We start from the raw sequence: 21,119 nt of genomic DNA, 5'->3' as shown, positions 1-21,119 counted from the left end.
TCTTTAAAAACATGCATTGTGGATTACTAATTGGAAGACCTGGTATATTTTATTCTTATTTAAAGTAATATTTTTTTGTGAGGATCATATTCAACACCTCAGACTGGGAAACAATGTTCTACAACAGTAAGACTTACTTACTTGTCAAGATCAACTAATTGTTCTGTGTTTTAAATTCACCTTCATTATATTTATGACATACCATCATGCATTGTAGCTGTCCCAATATATTATTTTACCTCATTTCTAAATTGGAAGATTTTAGAATCAGGAACAACATTTCAGTGATTTTTTTTATTGCTCTTGACACCTAGCATAATACTTGATCGTCCAGACACTTTATAAATATCTGCTCAATTAAAGCAAATTAATTATCCAATGACTTCATTTCTTTTGGGTGCAGAGAAGAAAGAGGGAGAAAAGTGAGTGTGTGAACATGAAAGGAAGGACACTATCAGAAAACACTGAAAGGAGGGCCTTTTGGATTAGTCTCTTATGAAACTGAAAGTCATGTTTAAGATTTTAACAACTATCTTAAATGATAAGAGTGTTTAAGAAAAAGAAGTATCTAAAGTAGCTATGTTTCTGCTACAGCTTGAATATGGTTTGTCCCCACCGAGACACCAAAACTCATGTTGATGCTTGGTCTCCAATGGAGTGGTGTTGGGAGGTGGTGCCTTTAAGAGGCAAAAAGAGGAGTCAAGAGGGACTTTATCACAGGAGTGAGTTCTCACTCTTGTGGGGCTGGATTAGTTACTACAAGAGAACAGGTTGTTACAAAGCGAGGCTGCCTCTTGTGTTTGGTCTTTTTGCACGTGGCTGCTTCCATTCCTGTTTCTCCACCATGTTATGACCCAAGCGCAAGGCCCTCACCAGAAGCTGAACAGCTGCAGCCACCCTATCTTGGCCCTCCCAGCCTCCAGAATCATGAGCTAAATAATCCACCTTTTTTTTTTTTCAAATTGTCTAGTCTTGGGTATTTTGTTATAGCAACAGAAACTCAACTAGGATAAGTATATTTAGTCAAAGAGTTATGAAGGAATGGAGTTATCTATTAATTAATAATTATATTATTATCTTCTATATCTATCTTGTTAAGTCAGGGTTACACCAGCACCCAAATTTTAATGCCCAGCATAAGCTAAGTTTCTGGGCTTTCATTCAATAACTAATATTACCAAGTCAATTGTTCCTTTACAGAAGTAATGACAAGGTGAAACAATGAGGTGTTTTTGTGTGTTCCTGTAAGATGCACAATTGCCTAATATGAAAAGAGCTCAGGCTTTATGTCTGGCCAATGTATATTTCCTTTTATCAAACTATGGTACAAAGCCCTACCCTACAACATGCTTCCAGTGTGACTAAGTCAGGATATAAATGTAGTGATAATACAGGATACAATCCCAGTTAACTGTTAGCACAAACCATTCTGAAGCTATGTTAGCAGAGGCTAGGTTTAACATTTTGTCATTATAAAGAGGGATATAAATGGGACTGATTTACAGGTAGATGATTATTTCCTAAGGAAACAAGTGTTCAGAAACATAATAAAGTTGATACATAATAGATACAGGTTCTAGAAAAAGGGTATCTTTATCTGGACTCTTGCTTCATGGAAGATGCTACAATGAAAGTGACGTAGGCTCAAAAATGCAAAGATAGGAGAGGTTAAAACAAAGTTAATTCACTGTGTTTGTGGAGAAGGGCAAGGGCTATAGGAGAAATTAGGGCTGAGGGGAATAGGGCTAGGTGGGTAAACACCTGCAAAGAAAAGACTGAAATACAATGTAAAGGGTTGTCCAGGGGAATCCCCCACAAGCAAGTACCTTCCAGCTCAGTGGATCAATATGACTTTATGAAGCAAAGTAAGGGAAAGAGGTCACTAAAAACAACGATTTTATACATGAGAAGGTGAAAATTCAAAAACTCCCATTTTTTCAACATAAATGGCTCATGTCATGTGCTAGGAAACATAAAACCCTAGACTATCTTCCATAAATGAAAAGACTAAGGCACAATTCTGTCGTCATGTAATTCAGTCTACTAGAAGAGACAGACCCAAAAAACAAAGAGCAATGCTACTGAGTGATAAGAGCAGTAAGGAAATGTGCTCTCACGGTTGCAGCTGCTATGGGAACATAGGAGAGGAAGGCATTTTTCTCAAGAACAGTGGGTAGGATAATCATAGAAAATTACAGAGAAAGTGACATTTGAAATTCTCCTAGAATACAGCGCTTGAGATGGAGCAGGGAATCACAGGAAAAGCAAGTAACAAGAGCACAGCACTTCATGAACAAGGAAGGCAAGGGCCCAGGAATGGCTGAAGGGTAAGCTACTCGGGAGCCTGAGGCAGGAGAATAGCTTGAACCCGGGAGGCGGAGGTTGCAGTGAGCTGAGATCGGAGCAAAACTCCATCTCCTCCACCCACAAAAAAAAAAAAAAAAAATTGACTGAGGCGGGTGTAAGGGGAAGCAGGATGCATGAGAAATGGCTGGGCCAGGTGGTCAGATGCCAGTTAGTCCACTAGAGAGCTTGGATATTATTTAGCAGGCAACAAGAAGAGTTATTTGTTTCTTTTTTGTTTGTTATTAGGGAAATGTTCTGAACTCACTTCGGAATGATTATTCTAGTGCCTGATGGCTGGAGGGGTGGGAGAATGGAGACTAGAGGCTAGTGAGAGAGAAGATTCACCCCATTCCCTACCCCACATTCGGAAACTGTAAGCAGACTGACAAAGGTATGGCTGCATGTCTCCCTCAGGCTTCTTTTCAGACCTACAAACAATGAATCAGGCCCCAGATTTAAGGCTTCTAGGGAAATGGCCATAAAATCAGCAGTAAAAAGAAAGATAAATAATATTCCTAAAATTTAATTAATTTCTCTGTTTCATTTTGCTTGGTTTAATGCTATGCTACACTTTTGATGTGAACAATCTAGACATTGTTCCGTTAGTATATTTCACTTTTATATCAAGCCTCACAATTTACTGGTTTTATTTAGGGTAATGCACACTTATTTGACATATTTATATTATCTTCATTTATTATTAAAAGCAATGTTATGTTTAGGTATTGAGGATCAATAAGACCTCCATAATGTTTACACCATCATATCTTTAATGGCAAGCTCAGAGTGTTTCAGGTTTGTTTTTATAGGTGATTTTTAAAAGGCAATTTTATAGCCTTTACTCTGTCTTGGGTAAAAAATTGGTTGACAAAAATTCCTTGACTATGCTTGCAAAAGTCTTAATTGGGCCACACAGAAACATAGAATGGATTTTGAGTAACTCTTTAGAGTGAATGTTTCCATCGTTGTGTTGTATTTCCCTAATGTATACTAAATTGTCACATGGAAAACTTAATGTAAGTTTCCTTCCTTCCTTCCCCCTTTCCTTTTCTTTTTTTTTATTTTTGTTTTTTGGAGGTAACAGTTACTTTGGGAAATATTCCATATCTTTGACTCTGCCTTTTATTGCTTGCAATTACTAAATGACAAATCTATGACTGCAGAGAATAGGAATCATATTCAATCTATATCTATTGTACCAAATGTGTAACTAATCAATACAGCAAACAAAAATACAGGAGGTGTAATTAGAATATAACCTTTATTTGTGGCCCACCAGTCCTTCAAAATTTATTTAAAGTGAAGTATTTTGCTATCCCTAGATGGAAAGATAAATATCTTATGACTTTTTTTTATTCTTAGTTTTAAAATGTCTGTTAATTTAAAAAGTTATATATTTTAATTTAGGCTGTACCAAATGAAATTGCTGTATTTGTAGGTTGGGAAAAAAAAGATCAAACAGCAATACTTTCATATGGTTCTGTCTAAATTAAAACCAACAAGGCGAAACATCAAAGCGCATTTGTAGTTAAATCTTCTCTCCTACTTCTACTAAGGGCTTACACGAGGTAAGAAGCCTGTAGTTGAGAAAGATGCATGACTGGCTTTTATTTGTTTTCCTACTTGTTTTCACTTAGAGTGCTAACTGTGATTTCTGACCTTCCAGGGACAGAGGTAGGGAAGATAAATAAGGATAGAGAAATTATTACTGCATTGGTATTATCCTAAGATGAATCAGGTCCTAATAGGTATGTACAAGTTTTTCAAGGGTTCTTTGGAGAACTCCCTTCATTGAGATATCTCACCTACACCCTTGCCCTGAGTGAATGCATCCCACTGCCTCAGTTCCTAAGAATTACAGAGATCTTCTGCATTCTCTGCAGAGGCAGCCACTCACTTCCAGTAATCCCTAAGGACAGGCCCTGACATGACCTCACACTGGCTCTTGCTTTTGAGTACCCATGCCAATCCTGGGAAAACACATGCATTCTAACAATCTCTGGGGATGCAGGCTGACTCCAGTGCAGTGACCTCTGCTCCGACTTCCCTGTCAGCAGCTAGACATAACAGCTGCTGTCATGCTCTGACAATTCAGACAGGAGTTAGGCATTAGTCAATCAACTATGTGTCCCAACTCCAGTATACACATACTAAGATGTGTATGACCCCACTGAAGCCTTTCTGAGTAGGCTCTTTCTACAGAGAAATCCTCTCTACAAATCTTACAACTACATTCATAGTCTTTTAGAAATTTGGTATGGATGAGGAGTCTAAAAGTTCTCTGTCCAGCTCTTAGCTTTCTATCTTTTGCACCCTCCTCTGGGTAATCTTTCTCACAATTCATTTTTACATCTGTTCCTTTCAGAAACAGAGATAGAATACATAAAGGGGAGAATAAATTCCAGAAGTTAATTCTGCCAATCATAGGGTGGAATTGAATGCTTTCATTAAAAGAAACAAATAAAACTAAAAACAAACAAACAAACAAATCAAATGGATTTAAATTACATTAGCAACCAATCAAGAAAAAGAATTGATTGTCAAGTAAACAGTTTTTGGAAAGAATTACTGTAAGACTACATGAAAGATAAGCATGCTTTTCAGCACATATTTTCTTTGAAAAGGAAATGTCTTTCCAAATTTTCTATGACAGGATTTCTTTTCTGAATCCACTGAAAGATGATCAAACTTTAAAAAGAGTTCACATGCATTATACTTAAAACCCTATTAAATGTTATTTAGCAAAAGCAATGGCTTGGTAAATATGTCCTTTCCAATCTCTTCATTTTAGAGAATTATTTATGAATTTAGTCACTGATAAAACATAAGCCAAAATAGAAAAAAAAAGATTAGAAAAGACTGAATACTAGAGAATAAAGTATAAAGTAATATACTTAAAATAATTTTTAAAATACCAGTTATAGAAAAAAGACTCATTAAATGTCCAATAATCAGAGAAAAATACAAAACTGGACTCAATATGATACAAACATTTACTCAACAAGTGCTCATTGAGGACTTACTGTGCCACAGTAAACCACTGGGCTGGCCACTGACGAAGATAAGAAGATGATGCAGACTTTGCTCTTGAGGTGCCTATTATCTACAGTATGCAGCAAACACAGATAGACAGACACACACTCACGCACACTAATATAATAATTATGCCTTAGTCCAGTGTTTCTCAAACTTTAATCTGTTTAAGAATCATATGGGGCCAGGCACAGTGGCTCAAGCCTGTAATCCCAGCACCTTGGGAGGCCGAGGCAGGCGGATCATCTGTGGTCGGGAGTTCAAGACCAGCCTGGCCAACATGGCGAAACCCTATCTCTACTAAAAATACAAAAATTAGTTGGGCATGGTAGCACATGCCTGTAATCCCAGCTACTCAGAAGGCTGAGGCACGAGAATTGCTTGAACCCAGAAGGTGGAGGCTGCAGTGAGCCAAGATCGTACCATTGCACTCCAGCCTGGGTAGCAAGAGTGAAACTCCTTGTCAAAAAAACAAACAAACAGAAAAGAATCATATGGGTTGCTTATATATAATGCAGGCTTATAGCCCCACCCTCAGAGATTCTGATTTTGAAAATCTGGGGTATAGTTCAAGCATCCCAGTGATTTGGAAGCAGAAATTCCATGAGCCATAATTGGAGAAACATGGCATTAGACAGAAGCACCATTAAGGCATCACCCTTGTCTGTCATCTTCCCCACTATTACCCAAGCTATAGCATAGAGCTTGGAACATAGTAAGCCCTTAGTACATACATCTGAATAAATGAATGAATGTATATGGTTAAGCTCCACAATCAATGATGAAAGCAAGATGTGACATAAAAATTCAGAAATATAATCAGCTTCTCTCTTTAAAAATCAGGTTCCCTTGGGTGAAGTCAGAAGATAATGTAAACGACACTGTGCAGGGTGCTTCATTCAGAAATATTCTTCTCTGTGGATTGAGGTCCTGGATCTTGGTAAATGTAACTGAACTCTTCTGCTGCAGGGTAAGTTCATTTTCCTCCCATTCACTGGTAGCATCTGGACCCCAAGGGCCCTCCTGAATTTGTCTGAATAGAGCCATTGTTCCCTCCAGAAAATACATATAACTTCATGTTGCCCACTCTGGCAGGCTAGAATTCCTCTGGTGGACAGGCAGAATAGCTCCTCTTTTAGGACTCTCAACACAGAAATGTAAATTAATTATAGTTCTAACTGAAAAACATCGAAATTGCAGAAGAATAGCTTGAGCATATAAGCAATTGACTGTTATTTATTTCTTTACAAAATGGAGTCACTGGCATAGATCTTCACAGAAGCTGTAATTATTGTTCTAAAAGAGCCGTATGGATTTTCTTTCTAAAGTTGTGGACCAACTTCAGACATGTCACAGCTGCACTAATTTTCACAAATAGCTACAAATAAATTAATTTTTAAGAGTAATATACATAAGTGAATTTAAAGGTAAAATAAAATATTTAGATGGCTGTATAATAAATTGTAAAAAATATTTCAAGCATGTTATTAGCTTTGGAAGGAAAAAGTTAGGTAAGAAGATCAAATGGGATGGACAAAACAAGAAGAAGGAAAGAAAGCACATCATGGGCAAAAGTGGAGAAAGCGGGAACACAAGCCATTTCATTTAAGGTATTAGTCCAGGCAGTGAGTCATTGCCAAGCCTAGCACGGTTTCAGCCAAGAGGCTGCCTGAGGAAGGATGAGGACAGTCATCCTCATGAAATAGAAAAGGATTGAAATCTACTATTCAGGGGCATTAGATGGTACTGGCTCTGAAGCTTCTCTAGAAGTAGAGCCCTCAGAAAGAAAAAAAACAACAGCAAACTGGGCTACAATTAGAGAGCTGTGTGTGTTCTAATCTGCCATCAGCAAGCAGAAAGACCTTAAACAAATCAGTTAGCCTCTCGTGTCTCCTTCATAAATTGAGGTTGGGGGCCAAATGACCTTTAAGATTCTTTCCAGCTTTAATCTTATGACTCTATGCTATCTTATTGGCCAAGGAGAGAAGGGATAGGGGAAGCGAGGAAAGGAGGAAGGAAGAGTGGTCTCAGAAGGGAAAAAAGGAGGTCCATGAGGAACAGGTGCCAGAAGGAAGAGCAAGTCACATCCTGGAGTTGGTCTGTTAAGATGCAGGCTGCCCTGTACCCTGTAGCAAGACGGGATAAAAAGGTCCCCTACCATCCACTAGTAATTTCACTTGAGAAGGTCAATTGCAAATAAGTCACTTCCAGGGAAAATTACATTTTGTGATACGTAAAAGCCCATTTCATTTTTAATGATTTTACACTGATTTCAACAAGTTCTCTATTGTCCAGCAGGATATTTATAACCTTACCCTTCCACTCACTCTCTACAGAGACCTATTCAGCCTTGGAATGCAGCAATACATTTCACTTTGAAGTTTGAGTTCAACTTTGAAATTTTCAACCACCATCCTTTTAGAAAATTATATATACATAGATATCAAAATATTAAGAGAGACATAAATATACACAGACACATGAAGACACATGTATGTATATATATGTGCACATATTATGTTCCAAATTTAATGTAGGTGTGGCAAACATTAACGCAGTCAGTCTGCTTTTTCAGTGCCTCAGAAACTTCTCCCAAAGTAAAGTCCTCAGAAAAAAAAAAAAAAAAGGAAGATCACTGTATTGATTGCAGTACTATAATCTTAAAGTCTCCTATGCTCTCTACAGCCTCCAAACCACACAACAATCTTTTAGGCTCTGATTCTAGGGCTAATTCCTGACCTGAGGCATTGACTTCATTTTGACATTTTATTTGCCTGTTATCCATTATGTCTGCCCTGTATTTTAATATATATGCCCATATGAGTTTAATAAACATTAAATCAGTCAAATGTATTTAATTAAATGTAATTAAATTAAACTCAGTATCTAAAGTGGAAAAGCTGTGTGAGAAGTTCCACTTCATTTAGTGGCAATAAAGGAGATGTGTTTAGAAATAGATATTAATTGGGGGGATAAACAAACAACTATTTGATTTTATGCAGAGATAGCCAGGGGCATTTTCTTTTAACTTAGGGAAAAGAAATTATTAACAGAAAGGACAACAGGCTTTAAGTAGTATCCTCTGGTCAGTTACTAACTTATTTGTATAATATGAGAGGAGAGATTATAATGTGATGGGTTGTTTGGGATGTCAGATTAGTTTTTACAAACTCTGACACCCGGCTCTGACATTACCAAAAGTGGCTATATCCATTTTAAGTAAAAATTAAACTATGAGTTTATAGAACTCTATAGGAGTTATTTTTCAAGTGCATTAAAAATGGCAGCTTTCATAATATTTTCTGTTTAGAAAATAACACAGCCTAGGTTGGGCACAGTGGCTCACGCCTGTAATACCAATGCTTTGAGAGGCAGAGACAGGTGTATCAACCAGAGGCTAGGAGTTTGAGACCAGCCTGGCCAACATGATGAAACCCCATCTCTATTACAAATTTAAAAAATTAGCCAGGTGTGATGGCGCATGCCTGTAATTCCAGCTTCTGGAGAGGCTGAGAAATATGAATTGCTTGAGCCTGGGAGGTGAAGGTTGCAGTGAGCTGAGATTGCACCACTGCACTCCAGCCTGGGCAACAGAGTGAGACTCTGTCTAAAAAAGAAAAAGAAAAAAGAAAAAAGAAAAAAATAGAAAATAACACAGCTTAAAGTAATGTCCTTTTTATCAGAAATAAGAACAGGAAATGGATATAAAATTCATTCTCAACTTTAGTTTTATTGATTAATTTGCTTTCAGAATATTTGGTTTTATTAAAAATTTGTGCATTTTTATCTTTAGAACAACAGAAATCAAAACACAAAGTCACATACCTGTGTCTGTTTAGGACCAATATCCATTCTTTCAAGAAGGTCATTTAAAAAAGCTGTAACACTGTCCCATGGGTAAATACTGTTGGAACCATCCAGCACTATGACTATGTCCAGTTGAGTGCTGCATTCTGCAATAAAAGGAGTCAATTGTCAAATTTGGAATCTATTTTTTTCAGAGGCATATGAAGTGCTTTCATGGCTGAAAGAAGTTCATTTTAAAAGATGAACTGATGTTCTCCAAAGTAGACACATTGTTTTAGCAATAAAAAATAGTTTTCGAAAAAGTAAAGATGATAAAAATATTCATTGCTTTCAATAACAATTGGTGTGGGATAAAATTCATACCTACTGAATTTTAATTAGTATTGTATGAGAGTTATCTTTGCAAATTTTCTCAATATGAATTTTATATAAGTTTTTATAAAACAGTTTTTGAGCATATCTCAAATGAAGTTACTTCTTTCTTCAAAGAGACTCATTCTTTAAATATAAGCAGCATGACAGCTTTATCTATGATGTTTAAAAATGACTTTGTAAAGTTATTTACACTAATATCAATTCCAAAAATAGCAGTCAGATTTTGTTATATACTGGCAAAGCAAACATTTACCTAAATTGGTAATGCTGGTAGCTAAGAAAATACTTTAAGCTTTTTGGTATGTTCCTTTGTATACATACGTCTCATTCATTGCATAGGCTTTTCAAACATGCAAGAACATTGCATAAAATCTGTACCTTGTACAGGGGCAATGGAATTCACGACTTGAAATGTGGGGCTGACGTCAGAACAGATTCCAGTTGTGTAATGCAAATGTCCACATCTATAGGCATATAAGGGCCCACAAGCCTTTAAAAAATTGTTTTAAAATTAGAAATCATTAGACTGAAAATTATATAACAGATCTTACAAAGACTTAAAATGATAGCATATCTGTTGTCAATAAATATCATTCTCTCCATTCTTACCAGAAATCCTCCATTTGGGTTGGTGACTAAAGTTGATCCAAATGTCATGTTCTCCTTTACTTCTGTGACATTGGGAATTGATGTATTAACTAAAAATAGAACAAAATTTTATGAGGGAGGAAAAGTTTCACAAAGTGAAATTTTAAGCATCTCTCATTAAGACATTCTATTTGTTTTGCTCATATCATAGCACATTCTTCTTTTGGTTCAACTAATTAGTCTTCCAAGTCTTCTTAAGGAATATAATGAACAAGCTAAGGCTGAAGAGTTGGCTCATGTCCCAGAAACTATTTCAGATAGTTTTGCTGAACTGTGAAAGAATGCAGAACTAGCAGGGCAATGAGAATGTGGGATTGCTTTTTGCACGTTCTTGCTAATTAAAGCAAAGTTTTTAATCTCATAATACTGTAGATATAATGTAATCTTATAACTTTGTTATAAATGACCAGTGATGAAACACGATTTTTGGCAAGAAAAGGGGAAATGGGTAGAAGATCAGAAAAGAAAACTCAAACACCAGTTTTTTGACCATGACTTCCAAAATCATGAGGACATCCTTTGGGTGACAAAGGAAACTAGAGGAATATTAGAGCAGTGTCCAGAAAGTTTTGATAAAGGAAACACAGTAAAGAGACTGCATTTGACATTCTGAAGGGAATGTTGGGTCCTGAAGCATGAAGCATGCCAGCCTAACAATATTGGCAAGAAGTTTCACTTTCTCACACTAAAAAAGAAAAAAAGACTGGACAGGAAAAACAAGAACTTCTAAATCTGCTTAGTAGAGTGGAATATTAGAAAGAGGCAAAATTCAGGTTGAGAAAGATTTGTCTCACTGTTTGTTCCAGAGGTTGTTTTCATGTTAAGACTGTATGTGGATTTAAAGTGGGGAATGGAAGCAGAGATTCTGGAATGGTCAGTTAGACTTCCTGATCTGCGCAATGGCCTTTGTCCAAGAGTTTAGTCTGGTTTGCTTTGAAAGCACCTAGAGCTGGGCGATTGTATGCATTGATCTTGTATAATCTGGATTAGAGTTTTATATACAAAGCTTGACCCAGAAAAAGCATTCCTGGGACAATTAGGGACTACAGTGGAAACTTCCCTACTGTACTTGATGTGGCTAAAATCTCTAGCCTAATTTTAAAACTATTCCAATTTCCAGTAAGGGAGGAGTAACTCCTAACAAAACAGCTCCTCTGCAAATCACAACTATAAATTCTAGGAAGAATTAAAAAAAATACATGAAACAATCACCTGAAGGCACTAGAAAGGTGGCAGAAAATGGAGGGGAATCCATACTTGGAAGAAGATACTGGCACTAAATGAGTTTTGTGCTTTTGTGTTTTGTTTTGTTTTTGTCCCCCACCCCTAACCCACCCCCAACCTAGGGAAGGCCCTGGTCAGTGGCTAAAACTCAAATAGAACTCCTAGTCTTACTGTACTGAATAAAAAGAGAACAGAGATTGAGGGCAATGACAGCAGCTGCAAAATGAGGAGGAGAGTAGTATATCTTAGAAAAAGAGCCACAAAACAACAGTTCTATAATATGCATATATATTTTATCCAAATAACTAGATGACTTGAATAGTAAATGCGCAGAGTATATTTCAAATAGCCCAGCTGAAATAAAACCTGAATAGAGATTTTAACTACTTGTCATTGCAAGAAAGTCAATGCTTGGAAATTGAGTTGAGCCAAGTAAATTTCCTGCTAATAAAAAAAGTTAAGACTATTCACAGGCATATAACAGAATCTAGAATCTCCACACCTGTAATTCAAAAATATAATCCAGGTTATGATCCAAAATTACAAGACAAGACAGGAAAATGTGATGCAACCTCAAGGAAAGGTAATAAATGGAAAGTGATGTTGAGATATTCCAGATGTTGGAATTATCAGGCAAGGATATTAAAGCAGCTATTATAAGTATGCTTATGCATGTAAAGAAAAAAAGTTCATAAAAACAAACAAATAGAAAATTCAAAAAAAGGAGAACTGAAAAATACAATATGTGAAATAAACTTGTGGGGCTATAAATAATTTCCATAGTATGTAATATTGTATAGAACATTGACAGGGTTCTAATTTCTAGATAATTTTAGTAGGAATTTTCCGGTCACATTCCTACTATTTATGTCAAATACATCTATTTCAATATAAATTTATCTTGTGTGATTCTATTTTTAAAATTAAATTTATCTATTACAATTCCTCTGATTCTATTTCCTCTTGAAAACCAGGCACTAAGTTAAATTTTGTGGAGGGAATGTGGTGGGCAGGTTTATTTGGAGAAGTTCTTTCACATTACCACTGAATTAGAAAGAATTCTGAAAAATGCAGAGAGTTAAAAGTTATAAAATTAGTACGGTATTCTAATTTATGTATGCTCCTTGATGACTTTCTAAAGCAAATTAAGGACAGAGGGAATCAAAATGGCATTCTATGTCAATCTGGAAGATAAATGATTATAGAAAAATGATTATAGATTATAAATGATTATATGAAAAATGATTATAGATTACTTCTTGAACTCAGCGCCTTAGACCGCTCGACCATTCTGACACACAGATTACTTCTAATATTTTCTTGAGTTGATTAAAATCTGTTTTTTTTCTTTTCTTTTTTTTTTTTTTTTTGAGATGGAGTTTTGCTCTTGTTCCTCAGGCTGGAGTGCAATGGCGTGATGTTGCCTTAACACAACCTCTGCCTCCCAGGTTCAAGCAGGTCTCCTGCCTCAGCCTCCTAAGTAGCTGGGATTACAGGCATGTACCACTATGCCCAGCTTAATTTTGTATTTTTAGTAGAGGCAGGGTTTCTCCATGTTGGTCAGGCTGGTCTCGAACTCCCGACCTCAGGTGATCCGCCTGCCTCGGCCTCCCAAAGTGCTGGGATTACAGGTGTGAGACACTGCGCCCAGCCCAAAATCTGTTTTCAGTGAGAATACTGGGCATAATTTAAGACCTGATTTTTTTTTTTTTTTTTTTTGAGACAGGGTCTCACTCTGTCACCCAGGCTGGAGTGCAGTGGCGCAATTACCATTCACTGCAGTCTCAAACTCCTGAGCTCAAGCGATCCTCACACTTCATCCTCTTGAGTAGCTGGGACTACAGTAGTGCACCACCCCATCCAGCTATTTTTGTATATTTTGTAGAGATGAGGTTTCGTCAGGTTGCCCAGGCTGGTCTCAAACTCCTGGGCTCAAACGATATGCCTGTCTTGACCTCTTAAAGTGTGGGGATTACAGGCGTGACTCACCGCACCTGGCCTAAAACCAGATTTTTTTAATTTTACATACCTGGTAGATCCAACTTTACACAAGGTAATGATTCACCTCTCCCAACTGGACACTTATAGACATCTCCAGTTCTGTTTTTGGGTTGGCCAACTAACGGAGAACCAATAAGCACCCTGGAAGTTAAATAAATCAGTAAACATTTTTGAACATTGAGAAACAGTTTATATGAGTTGTTTTATGACTGATTTTAAGATAATTGACAATAACACTCATAATCAGATAATAATCATGCTATTAGTAATTTAATGTTATGTAAACTAAGCAGAGAGCCTACCTCTTGCATATTGATGTGGATTAAAAAGTATATATACACACACACACATACATATACAATATACATATATAGCATATACATGTGTGTATATACATATATATGTGTGTATATACATGTATATGTGTGTGTATATGTAGGATAGATATTTCAGAGATTTTGCTTTATTATTTTGTTTATATTACTTTATCATATTTTTTATTGGGGTACTGAAATAATCAATAATTATTGGCTAAGTCTGCTACTGTATTAACTTATAAAACACATGTGGAAGTATAAGTGACTTTTTCCTATGATGAACTGCTAATTTTATAGAGAAGTCAGGAAATATAAACATTGGAACATCATAAGATTTAATATTAGCATGTGCTAGTTTATAAGTGCTTAGAAAATAAGGATAGTTTATGAGATCCAGGTTAAAATCACTTACTTTCCTTTTAGACAGAATTATAAAACCATTCTAACAGTAATTAATGGAAAAAACATATAATCACAACTGATTTTAGTTCCAACAAGTCATTTAAGTCTCCCATGATATCTTCAGGAATCGGATGAACTAAAGTAAATAGTAAGATACTTGGGTGGATCCACAGTTGCTGATTTATTGCTGGCTGAGTAGCCATATCCAAAAACTCTGGCTGCTAGCAATCAAAGGACTTAATTACATAGTATGAGATTTTGTACTTGGGATTGTGTTAGATTACAACTTTATTTTTTTATTTTATTTTTTTATTTTTATTTTTTGAGACGGAGTCTCGCTCTGTTGCCAGACTGGAGTGCAGTGGCATGACCTTGGCCCACTGCAACCTCCGCCTCCTGGGTCCAAGCGATTCTCCTGCCTCAGCCTCCCAAGTAGCTGGGACTACAGGTGCACGCCACCACGCCCGACTAATTTTTGTATTTTTAGTAAAGACAGGGTTTCACCATGTTGGCCAGGATAGTCTCGGTCTCTTGACCACGTGATCCGCCCACCTTGGCCTCCCAAAGTGCTGGGATTACAGGCATGAGCCACCACGCCCAGCCAGATGACAACTTTATTAATGACTTTAGTCAAGATATAAAAAGTATAAATATAGTTATCAATCAGCACCATAAGACAGAGCAAGAAAAAAATACTTATCAAGTATATCAATATACATACTTAGGAATTCAGATGAATCTCAACATTCTGGAACAATAAACATAAATAAACTAAAGTTTACTTAGAACCTACATAAATAACTTCGCTCAGCTGCATACTATTATTTATATCAGTGCAGGATGTGGGAGCCCTCACTTAATGGGAGTTCATGTGAAAAAGGCATGGGGGATTTAGATGATAGCACATAAACATGAGCAACAGCGTATTTTAGTGCCAAAAATGCTAATGTGACTTTAGTCTGCAGTGCTGGAAATAGATGCCCTGGTCAAGCAGTGATAGTCCCCCTGTGTTCTGTGCTGGTCAGGCCATGTCTGAAATATCTAAATTAAGAGGGACATATGCACAATGGAATGTATTTAGGAGACTATGACTCAGATAGTTAGGAGTCTGGTAAATTTGTCAGACAAAAGATGCTGGGAAAGTTGGGGATGTTCGGCATGGAGAAAGAATGTCTGCAGGAGAACTGAGAAGTTGCATTGAAGTACAAATTGATTAGGCACACATTTTGAAAATTTAAATATTTGAAAGTCTGTCATATTGAAAAGAAATGGGATTTATTTTGTGTAGGCCCTATAGGCATGCTAGTATTAATGAAAATAAATTTTATAAAACAATTGTAAATATTAAGCTATTGAGACTCTAAAACATGGTTTTAATATAATGCCTTTGGAAAGCAATTTCTGATTTGTATAAAGAACTACAAAAATGCTCAAACCCTTTAATACATAATTTTTACTTCTGGGAATCTATCCTAAATAAAATGACCTAAAGTAAGAGGGAAAAGCTTAATGCACAAAGATAATGCTCATAGTGTTATATATAATTATGAAAGAGTAAAAGAAATATGGTAAATAAAAACTAATTATTTCAGGATCATTCTATAGCATATTGTACATTCATTGTATGGTAGGATGAAAAATTATTTATGATCGAACTCAAAGTGAAAATTTATCTAATTTAGTGAAAATCTGTGCCCTAATTTAACATGAAAGACACCAAATTACTATGTTCATTATACTACCACTGATAATGGCAGCTAGGCTTTATTGAATTTATACCATGTGCTAGGCCCTGTTCTAAGTGCTTTCTGTGTATTAAATAATTTAATCTTCTCCATGAAATATAGCATGAACTTTGGTGCCAGCCTATATGAGTTCAAATTATGGCTTTACCATTCACTTAGCTATATGGTTAGGACAAGTCAATTACTCCATCTGTGATTTAGTTTTTTTATCTATAAAATGGAGATCCATTTCAGAGGATCATCAAAAAAATAAATAAGTTAATGTATATAAAATGCTTAGAACAGTATTTGGCTTATAGTATGTGCTATCTAAATGTTAGTTCTTATTATTATTAGGTATTTATTTCAGATGAATAAACAACTAACATCGATGTTGAAAGATTAATCAGGAATACATCAAGAATATAACAAATTATATTAATGAGGTTACGATTATTTTTTCCTAATATTTTCAGTTGTAAAATACGTAATGGAATAAATTGGTTTTACAGTTAAAAACAGTTTAGAGAAAAAAATGAGCCTACGATTTTAGAAAGTATTTAATTTGAGGCTGGAGTAATTAATGTTTATTAACAATATTTTACATGCTGGGCATTTATGCCAGGTCCTGAGGATATAAAATGATACAAAAGTGAATAAAACACAATTTTTAGTTTGCTTATAACTTAGAGAGAGAAGCACAACTATACATGTACTATTGCAATATTGAATAGGTCTGAACTTGATGCAACTTCAGCAAAGTCTTAGAAGTAAGAATACCACTCCTTTGATAAATGCCAAGTAGCTCAGTATAACTGCAGTAGAAGTTGAGGCTAGAGAGGTAAAAAGAGTCCAGATCATGAATGTTCTCATAGTCAGCTTTAAGAACTTTGGCTTTATTCTATGTAGGGGGAAGTTGGGAACCAATGAAGCTATTAAAGAGGGGTGTAACATGATCACCTTTTTGATTTACAAAGCTTATTTGCTTGAAGTGTCATAAGTAAATTGAAGAGGAACAAAATTAGAGTCAAATGACAAGATATGGATTCCTAAAGTAATCCAGATGAGGATTTGGATTCAGGAAGTACAGAGGATGGAAGGACTAACTCTATAAATATTTAGGATATAAGCTGTCTTAGTTCGGGTTTCTCCAAAAGTAGATCCAAGACAAAAACTTTGGTTCAGGTAAGTTTTTTGGAGGCAATTCCAAGTATGCATAAGTATAGAGATGGGGAAAAGAAGAGTGGGAAGGAAGAAAGGCCAAGAAAGGATGCACTGATAATGAGTTACTTCTGTAGGCAAGTGGGCTCAGTCTTGCTGGGGAACATCTCAGAAACCATGTGGAACATGTATGAGCATGATATGAGCATGGTTGAGGCCCTAAAAGTAAATATTACCACCTCGAAATATAGTGAGAAGAGCACTAAATGTTGACATCTGAAGGTGAAATAACACTTAAGGTTTCAATGAGCAAAGGAAGAAAACTAGGCAAGGGTAATCAGAAAGGGAGCAAGAATCAGAAAACAGCAGTGTCACAGAAACCAAAGAAGGAAACAATATAAAGAATAGGAGGCAAGAATGAGAGGTACATGTTTGTGGCAGATTTCATTTCAAGTAACTTGGCTAAAAATGAGGGAGATGGGCAGTGTTAATAAATGTGGCTTTTTTTTTTCAGGGCAATGACAAACCATTAAGGGCTTGAGATGTGTCCAAATTTATCATGGAGGCAATCTGCATATGGCTAAATGATGGCAAGAAAGAAACAGTAACAAGAGAAATCCTGATTTCACAGGAGAGGGAGTAGAATCTCTGAGCAGGTAGACAGGGTGGATCCAGAAGGAGAGGTTTGTCTTAAAAATGAGGAAGAGCGACCATTCCCTAGGCAGCACGCTGAGCAGCCCAGTATTGAGCAGTTTGCAAGGGTGGTCGATGGTTTGGAATTGTGTACACTTTTGCAACACGACTTTGACTTTTATTATTTCATGAGGTAGAATCTGTTTTTCCACCCATTGAATCTAGGATTTGTTTTGATGAATAGAATGCAGCACAAATGATACTATGACTTCTAAGGCTAGGCCTTAAAAGGCCTTTGCAGATTCCATTTTACCTGTTTTTGAAAGCTGAGAACATCAGGATGTGAAGAAGCCCAGTGTTGCTTAACAGAGGATAAGAGGCCACGTGGAACAGAATTGGTGCTTTAGCTGACAGCATGAACTTCCACTCGTGTGAGGAAAGCCAGCTTGGACACTCCAGCCCCAGTTGAGGGACCAGATGATGAGCCCAGGCAATAGGGGAATACCTATTCAATCCTCAAAAATCTTGAGAATTTATAGACCATTGCTGCTTTAAGTGACTAAGTATTGGAATGACTTATTATGCAGCAATAGTTAACTGAAACAGGAAGTGAGGATTAAATTTTGACCTAGTGGCTTCTCTCTCTCTCTCTCTCTCTCTCTCTCTCTCTGTCTCTTTTTCTTCTTTGGAAAATAATAGCTGCAGTTGTCTAGTGAGATTTACAGAGGAGGTAGAAGGGTGGTGGGCTTGTAGAGAGCGATGAAGATTTAAACTGATAAGGCATACGTAGGTCTGTCAGGCAGCTCCTCTGGTCAAGATGAGGTGGGTTGCAGCTGGCCAGGGATGTTTCGGAAGGTGTTTTTATAGTGGATGGGAGTTAGGCCCTCAAAGTCCTTTCCAGTTCTAAGATTCCATCATCTGAATAGAACAAATATAAGTTTGTAGAGAAGAACTGACTCACTAGTTGGAAAACATGTAATATCAAGTGGGGGAAAATCTAGGATAACTGATGAAAAGTGAGTCTTGTACAGCATGCTAATAGGAGAGCTATTGTGAATTGTAAGGCAGAAGGAAAGGGAGATATGGATAGCCCAGGGAAAAGTGTGGAGACAGGAGAATGAAGATGGAAAAGGGAAGATAATGAGAAAGTATGGGTGGCTAGAACTCAGAATAAAGCTTGCTTATAGACAGGAACAGAGAGCTTGAGATTTGGCAAGCATTTGGCTCTGGAGGAAAAGGTCTGGAGTTTATGTTTGATCTCTAGGGCAAGAGAAAGCACTTAGGATATGGTGATAATTGGAAACTGACCTGATACAGCAATCTCAACCACGGCCTATTGCATATTCTGAGATAAGTGAAGATTGCGGAGTGAGAACTTAGAAAGTGGTAGAGTGTAGGAGCCCAGGATTGAGACAGGGAGTTTGGGAGTTGGGACCAATAGTAAAGACCAGGTTAGCAGATCATAGGACTGCTAATTTTCTGTATTTTCCTAGTATCTGTTTTCTTTGAAAACAAACATGAAACTTTTAATAACAAGCTTGAAAGTACGTGTATCTTACCACTTGAATCCTAAGGAAGCCTCACTTTTCTCCAACTGCATCAAAATAACAAGATCCTAGAAAAGTATTAGCATAGGGTTTACAGAATTTCAGGAATCTCCAGCATTCTCAATCCACTCTCTTGCTCAGTTTTTTCTCACAACACTGATCCTATTCTGGCATTTGATGTAACCTACCTGTTTATTAACTTCATTATTTAATTTTTGTTCTCTATTCCCCAGTAGAATATAAGCTCCACAATAGTAGGGATTGGTTTTTCTATTTTGTTCACAAACACATCCTTAGTGCTCATACTAGTACCAAGCACAAAATAGGCATTCAATAAATATCTATTGAATGAATGAATTAACGACTGTGTCAAGTACTTAAAAATCTGAATAAGGCAGACCTGAGAATTTATACTTATGTGACCAGCCAAGAGGTCTGGATTGTAAAATCTTTTTTTTTCCATTTTAGAGAATATATATTCAGCTTAAGTGGGATGCTATACATGCCTTTGAGTGACACCAGAGGCATTTCTCCAGGTCAAACAGCTAGAGAATCCTTGTTGCTAAAGGGGGAGAATTGGCTAAAAAGTCAGAAGGCTGGTGTTCCATATCCTGACCCTGTGACATACTTGCTATATTAAACCTTTGGACATTCATTCTCTGTCTCAGTTTCCTGTCTAGAAAATACAGATGATAACAATGATATCCGCCCAAACCCACAGGGTCAAGGTGAAGGCCCAGGCACATTGTTTTATAAACTGTGAGAATCATTATTTTAAAATTTAATGCAAGTTAGTTTTAACTTATTACGTTTTATTCCTATTAGATCTTGCTTTTTATATGGCATTTTTGTAATGACCTGTATGCAGACTGAGAAGATCAAAACATGTTCTGGATATCGTTACTCATTTCTGGAGAAACATCTGATCAACTCAAGGATCATCAAAGTGAGAGAAACACTTTTCTCCATGAATAAGCTACAATTATAATAATATTTAGTAAGCAGAAATATTTGCTATTCACAATAGTTATCTTGTTATTATGCCCATTATTATATTTATTTGAAGAGTAGGTGGTGTCTGATGTCTCTGTTTCATATTTATGTTTTCTTCCCTGCAAAAGATAGTTTCTTGGAAAAGAGTGTCTTATATTTACATTATTTCATTAACATCCTTTTCAACTAACTCTGCCTTGATGTCTAATACATAGTTCAAGCCAAAGTCACTCTCAGAGTGCCAAGCAAATTCTGCTCGCCAATTTCTTTTTAAATAAATGGAATAAGCATTTTTTCATCTTAGAGAATGAAACTTACACAGTGACCCATTAACTGCAGTGATTTGCTCATAAAAGGTGGAGGGGTGGAAATGAGGGGAGCCAAAGAAATGACAAGTTTGGCAATGAGGAAATTTCAACTTCAAAAGGCGTTAGAAGCAATGTAAAATAAGCATATTAAAATCTGTTACAGAAAATTGTGTAAACCCTTAAAATGTCTCTCCTCCCCAGTCTGGAATAGCTCTACATTAGCAGGGATTCTTTTTTCTTTTACAACACAGACTTATTGGAAATAGGGCATCAATCACATGAGCCCATTGGTACCCTGACCTGGCATAAAGCAGGATCCTCTAGAGAAAAGGCATGAAGTCAAGATAATTGATAAACATTGGCTTGAAGGTTGGCAAGGGTGGATCCTGAAAATCTACTTTGAGATCAGACAGGTCCAGTGAAGTCACTGAAACCCCCAAGAAAGGTTGCTTGAAGGGCAGTTAAAAGGGTAGGCACACATGCTGGAAGGAATGAAGCAAAGCAGCAACAGATTAGAGTGGAAAGCCCCAAACAGACATCTCACATTTTCCCGTTCGGCTGAGACCTGGCCATGCTGATGTTTACCACTAAATCTGGAAA

The 21,119-nt window shown here is 36.6% G+C and overlaps 1 protein-coding gene across 1 annotated transcript in view; it reads right to left on the bottom strand.

The window, feature by feature from the left end:
- ITGA1 (integrin subunit alpha 1) overlaps positions 1–21,119 on the bottom strand; it is a 171,294-nt gene that overhangs the window by 84,188 nt on the left and 65,987 nt on the right. The window contains exons 3-6 of the mRNA NM_181501.2: positions 13,463–13,575; positions 10,171–10,259; positions 9,940–10,051; positions 9,205–9,332 (exon numbers count right to left, since the gene is read on the bottom strand). Coding sequence (NP_852478.1) covers positions 9,205–9,332; positions 9,940–10,051; positions 10,171–10,259; positions 13,463–13,575 — 442 coding nt within the window. The remainder of the gene's footprint in view (positions 1–9,204; positions 9,333–9,939; positions 10,052–10,170; positions 10,260–13,462; positions 13,576–21,119) is intronic.

The sequence above is a fragment of the Homo sapiens genome, chromosome 5 (genome assembly GCF_000001405.40).
Source record: "Homo sapiens chromosome 5, GRCh38.p14 Primary Assembly".
In the NCBI taxonomy this organism is placed as follows: Eukaryota; Metazoa; Chordata; class Mammalia; order Primates; family Hominidae; genus Homo; species Homo sapiens.
The sequence above is the reverse complement of the archived record's forward strand: the minus strand, read 5'-3'. Positions and strand labels throughout refer to the sequence as shown.